The sequence below is a fragment of the Homo sapiens genome, chromosome 11 (assembly GCF_000001405.40).
Source record: "Homo sapiens chromosome 11, GRCh38.p14 Primary Assembly".
In the NCBI taxonomy this organism is placed as follows: Eukaryota; Metazoa; Chordata; class Mammalia; order Primates; family Hominidae; genus Homo; species Homo sapiens.
Genome location: NC_000011.10, coordinates 55251450 through 55257960, shown reverse-complemented (window position 1 = coordinate 55257960; position 6511 = coordinate 55251450). Strand labels below are relative to the sequence as shown.

Below are 6511 nucleotides of genomic sequence, written 5' to 3'. Positions count from 1 at the left end.
AAAAAGTAGACAGAAGCTTTCTCAGAAACCACTTGGTGATGTGTGCATTCAACTCACAGAGATGTACCTTTCTTTTATTAGAGCAGTTTTGAAGCACTTTTTTTGTAGAATCTTCAAGTGGACGTTTTGAGCACGTTGAGGCCTATGGTGAAAAAGGAAATTTCTTCACATAAAAACTAGAGAGAAGCATTCTCAGAAATCTCTTTGGGAGGTGTGCATTCAACTCACAGACTTGAACGTTTCTTTTGACAGAGAAGTTTTGAAACACTCTTTTTGTAGAATCTGCAAGTGGACATTTGGACCGTTTTGAGGCCTGTGGTAGAAAATGAAATATCTTCATAAGAAAACTAGACAGAAGCATTCTCAGAAACTTCTTTGAGATGGGTGCTTTCAACTCACAGAGTTGAACCTTCCTTTTGACAGAGCAGTTTTGAAACACTCTTTTTGTAGAATTGGCAAGTGAATATTTGGAGTGCTTTGAGACATATGGTATAAAAGGAAATATCTTCATATAAAAACTAGACACAAGCATTCTCAGAAATTATTTTGTGATGTTTGCATTCAACTTACAGAGGTGAACATTCCTTTTGATACAGCAGTCATGAAAAACTCTTTATATAGAATCTGCAAGTGTTTATTTGGAGAGCTTTGAGGCCTTCGGTGGAAACGGGAATATCTTCACATAAAAAGTAAACAGAAGCATTCTCCAAAACTTTTTTGTGATGTGTGCATTCAACTCACAGAGTTGAACCTTCCCTTTGATGGAGCAGTTTTGAAACACTCTTTTTGTAAAATCTGCAAGAGGATATTTGGAGTGCTTTGAGGCCTTTGCTGGAAACGGGAATATCTTCACATAAAAACGGGAATATCTTCACATAAAAACTGGACAGAAGCATTCTCAGAAACATGTTTGTGATGTGTCCATTCAACTCACAGAGTTGAACTTTCCTTTTCATTGAGCAGTTTTGAAGCACTCTTTTTGTAGAATCTGCTAGTGGATATTTGGAGCACTTGGACGCCTTCGTTGGAAACGGGAATATCTTCACATAAAAATTAGACAGAAGCATTCTCAGAAACTGCTTTGTGATGCTTGCTTTCAACTCACATAGTTGAACATTCCCTTTGATAGAGCGGTTTTGAAACACTCTTTTTGTAGAATCTGCAAGTGGATATTTGGAGCGCATTGAGGCCTTCGGTGCAAACGGGAATATCTTTACATAAAAAGTAGACAGAAGCATTCTGAGAAACTACTTTGTGATGTGTGCATTCAACTCACAGATTTGAACAGGCCTTTTGATAGAGCAGTTTTGAAACACTCTGTTTGGAGAATCTGCAAGTGGAAACTTGGAGCACTTTGAGGCCTTCATTGGAAAAGGGAATATCTTCACATAAGAAATAGACAGAAGCATTCTCAGAAACTTCTTTTTGATGTGTGCATTCAACTGAGAGAGTTGAACTTTCCTTTTGATAGAGCAGTTTTGAAACCCTCTTTTTGTAGAATCTGCAAGTGGATATTTGGAGCGCTTTGAGGTCTATGGTGGAAACGGGAATATCTTCCCATATAAACTAGACAGAACCATTCTCAGAAACTTCTTTGTGATGTGTGCATTCCACTCTGGGAGTTGAACAGTTTTGAAACACTCTTTTTGTAGAATCTGCAAGTGGATATTTGGAGCGTTTTGAGGCCTATGGTAGAAAAGGAAATATATTCATATAAAAACCAGACAGAAACATTCTCAGAAATTACTTTGTGTTGCTTGCATTCAACTCACAGAGTTGAACATTCCTTTTGATAGAGCTGTTTTGAAACACTGTTTTTCTAGAATCTGCAAGTGGATATTTGGAGCGCTTGGAGGACTTTGTTGGAAGCAGGAATATCTTCACATAAAAATTAGACAGAAGCATTCTCTGAAACTCCTTTGTGATGTGTGCATTCAACTCAGACAGTTGAACCTTCCTTTTGATAGAGCAGTTTTGAAACACTCTTTTTGTAGAATCTGCAAGTGAATATTTGGAGCGCTTTGAGGTCTGTGGTATAAAAGGAAATATCTTCATATAAAAAATAGACAGAAGCATTCTCAGAAACTACTTTGTGATACTTGCATTCAACTCAGAGAGTTTTAACTTCCTCTTTATAGAGCAGTTTTGAAACACTCTTTTTGCAGAATCTGCAAGTGGATATTTAGAACGCTTTGAGGCCTTTGGTAGAAAAGGTAATATCTTCATATAAAAACTAGACAGAAACATTCTCAGAAACAACTTTGTGATGCTTGCATTCAACTCACAGAGTTGAACCTTCCTTTTGATAGAACAGTTTTGAAACACTCTTTTTGTAGAATCTGCAAGTGGATATTTGGAGAGCTTTGAGGCATACGTTGGAAACGGGAATATCTTCCCATTAAAAACTAGACAGAAGCATTCTCAGAAATTTATTTGTGATGTGTGTATTCAACTCAGAGTTGAACCTTCCTTTTCATAGAGCAGTTTTGTAGGAGCTGCAAGTGGATATTTGGAGCACTTTGAGGACTTTGTCGGAAAAGGGAATATCTTCACATAAAAACTAGACAGAAGCACTATCAGAAACTTCTTTGTAATGTGTGCATTCAACTCACAGACTTTAACCTTCCTTTTGATAGAGCAGTTCTGAAACACTCTTTTTGCAGGATCTGCAAGTGGATATTTGGAGCGCTTTGAGGTCTATGGTTCAAAAGTTAATATCTTCATATAAAAACTAGAGAAAAGCATTCTCAGAAACATCTTTGTGATGTGTGCATTCAACTCACAAAATTGAGCTTTCCTTCCCATAGTGCAGTTTCGAAACACTCTTTTTGTAGAATCTGCAAGTGGATATATGGAGCGCTTTGAGGCCTGCCGTGGAAATGGAAATACCTTCACACAAAAACTAGAGAGAAGCATTCTCAGAAACTTCTTTGTGATGTGTGTGCATTCAACTCACAGAGTTCAACCTTCCTTTTAATAGAGCAGTTTTCAAACAGTCTTTATGTAGAATCTGCAAGTGGATATTTGGAGCACTTTGATCCTAAGGTAGAAAAGGAAATATATTCATATAAAAACTACACAGAAGCATTCTCAGAAACCACTTTGTGATGCTTACTTTCAACTCACAGAGTTGAACATTCCTTTTGATAGAGCAGTTTTGAAACACTCTTTTTGTAGAATCTGCAAGTGGATATATGGAACGCTTTGAAGCCTAAGGTAGAAAAGAAAATATCTTCATATAAAAACTAGACAGAAGCATTTTCAGAAACTACTTTGTGATGCTTCCATTCAACTCACAGTGTTGAACATTCCTTTTGAGAGAGCAGTGTTGAAACACTCTTTTTGTAGAATCTGCAAGTGGATATTTGCAGCACTTTGAGGCCTTCGGTGGAAACAGGTATATCTTCAAAAAAAAGATAGACAGAAGCATTCTCACAAACTTCTTTGTGATGTATGCATTCAGCTCACCGAGTTGGACCTTCCTTTTGATAAACCAGTTTTGAAACACTCTTTTTGTAGAATCTGAAAGTGGATGTTTGGAGCAATTTTTGGCCTTCAGTGGAAAAGGGAGTATATTCACATAAAAACTAGACAGAAACATTCTCAGAAACTACTTTGTGATGTGTGCATTCACCTCACAGAGTTGAACCTTCCTTTTGAAAGAGCAGTTTTGAAACACTCTTTTTGTAGAAACTGCAAGTGGATATTTCAAATGCTTTGAGGTCTACAGTGGAAACGGGAATATCTTCCCATATAAACTAGACAGAAGCGTATTCAGAAACTTCTTTGTGATGTGTGCAATCAACTCACAGAGTTGAATTTTCCTTTTGATAGAGCTGTTTTGAAACACTCTTTTTGTAGCATCTGCAAGTGGATATTTGGAGCACTTTGAGGCCTATGGTAGAAAAGGAAATATCTTCATATAAAAACTACACAGAAGCATTCTCAGAAACTACTTTGTGACGCTTGCTTTCAACTGACAAAGTTGAACATCTCTTTTGATAGAGCAGTTTTGAAACACTCTTTTTGTAGAATCTGTAAGTGGATATATGGAAGGCTTTGAGGCCTAAGGTAGAAAAGGAAATATCTTCATATAAAAACTAGATGGAAGCATTTTCAGAAACTACTTTGTGATGCTTGCATTCAACTCACAGTGTTGTACATCCTTTTTGAGAGAGCAGTTTTGAAACACTCTTTTTGTAGAATCTGCAAGGGGATATTTGGAGCACTTTGTGGCGTTTGGTGGAAATGGGTATATCTTAAAAAAAAAATGGAAGCATTCTCAGAAACTTCTTTGCGATGTGTGCTTTCAACTCAGTGAGTTGAACATTCCTTGTGATAGAGCAGTTCTGAAACACACTTTTTCTAGAATCTGCAAGTGGATATTTGGAGTGCTTGGAGGCCTTCATTGGAAACGGGAATATCTTCACATAAGAACTAGACGGAAACATTATCAGAAACTTCTTTGTTATGTGTGCATTCAACTCAGAGAGTTGAACCTTCCTTTTGATAGAGAAGTTTTGAAAAACTCTTTTTGTAGGATCTGCAATTGGATATTTGGAGTGCTTTGAGGCCTATGCTGGAAAAGGAAATATCTTCATATAAAAACTAGACAGAATCATTTTCAGTAACTCAGTAACTAAATTGTGATGCTTGCATTCAACTCACAGAGTTGAACATTCCTTTTGAGAGAGCAGTTTTGAAACACTCTTTTTGTAGAATCTGCAAGTGGATATTTGGAGCACTTTATGGCATTTGGTGGAAACGGGATTATCTTCACATAAATACTAGTCAGAAGCATTCTCAGAAACTTCTTTGTGATGTGTGCATTCAACTCACAGATTTGAACCTTCGTAGTGATAGAGGAGTTCTGAAACACTCTTTTTGTAAATCAGCAAGTGGATATTTGGAGCGCTTTGAGGCCTTCATTGGAAACTGAATATATTCAAATAAAAACTAGATAGAAGCATTCTCAGAAACTATTTTGTGATGCTTGCATTCAACTCACAGAGTGGAACCTTGCTTTTCATAGAGCAGTTTTGAAACACTCCTTTTGTAGAATCTGCAAGCGGATATTTGGAGGGCTTTGAGGACTTCGTTGGAAACGGGAATATCTTCACATAAAAACTAGACAGGATCATTCTCAGAAACTTCTTTGTTATGTGTTCATTCAACTCCAGAGTTGAAACTTCCTTTAGATAGAGCAGTTTTCAAACGCTCTGTTTGTAGAATCTGCAAGTGGATATTTGGTGCGCTTTGAGACCTACGGTGGAAACCGGAATATCTTCACATAAAAACAAGAGAGAGTCATCCTCAGAAACTACTTTGTGATGTGGGCATTCAACTCAGAGAGTTGAACCTTCCTTTTGATAGAGCAGTTTTGAAAAACTCTTTTTGTAGGATCTGCAAGTGGATATTTGAAGTGCTGTGAGGCCTATGGTAGAAAAGGAAATATCTTCATATAAAAAATAGACAGAAGCATTCTCCGAAACTACTTTGTGATGCTTGCATTCAACTCACAGAGTGGAACATTCCTTTTGATAGAGCAGTTTTGAGACACTCTTTTTGTAGAATCTGAAAGTAGATATTTGGAGCGCTTTGAGGCCTTCGGTGGAAATGGGAATATCTTCAGATAAAAGCTAGTCAGAAGCATTCTCAGAAACTCCTTTGTGATGTGTGCATTCAAATCAGAGAGGTGAAACTTCCTTTTGATAGAGCAGTTTTGAAACACTCTTTTTGTAGAATCTGCAAGTGGATATTTACAGAGCTTTGTGGCCTTCAATGGAAACGGGAACATCTTCACATAAAAACTAGACAGAAGCATTCTAAGAAACCTCTTTGTGATGTGTGCATTCAACTCACACAGTGGAATCTTCCTTTTGATAGAGCAGTTTTGAAATACTCTTTTTGTAGAATCTGCAAGTGGATATTTGGAACACTTTGAGGCCTACAGTGGAAACGGGAATATCTTCCCATATAAACTAGACAGAAGCATATTCAGAAACTTCTTTGTGATGTGTGTATTCAACTCACAGAGTTGAACCTTCTTTTTGATAGAGCTGGTTTGAAACACTCTTTTTGTAGAATCTGCAAGTGGATATTTTGATGGCTTTGAGGCCTTCGGTGGAAACAGCAGTATCTTCACATGAAAACGAAACAGAAGCATTCTCAGAAACTTCTTTGTGATGTGTGCATTCAACTCACAGAGTTGAACCTTCCTTTCAATAGAGCTGTTTTGAAACACACTTTTTGTGGAATCTGCAAGTGGATATTTGGAGCGCTTTTTGGCCTAAGGTGGAAAAGGAATTATCTTCATATAAAAAATACACAGAAGCATTCTCAGAAACTACTTTGTGATGCTTGCATTCAACTCAGAGAGTTGAAACTTCTTTTTCATAGAGCAGTTTTGAAACACTCTTTTTGTAGAATCTGCAAGTGGTTATTTGGAGTGCTTTGAGGCCTTCGGTGGAAACGGGAAAATCTTCACATAAAAAGCAGACAGAAGTATTCC

The 6511-nt window shown here is 37.2% G+C and overlaps 1 annotated feature.

The window, feature by feature from the left end:
- Positions 5656 to 6157: an enhancer, noted in NCBI's record as "NANOG hESC enhancer chr11:55019280-55019781 (GRCh37/hg19 assembly coordinates)". NCBI's record gives its function as "activates a minimal SCP1, AML or CMV promoter by ChIP-STARR-seq in naive H9 embryonic stem cells {active_cell/tissue: H9 hESC(naive)}" and the evidence as "EXISTENCE:reporter gene assay evidence [ECO:0000049][PMID:30033119]".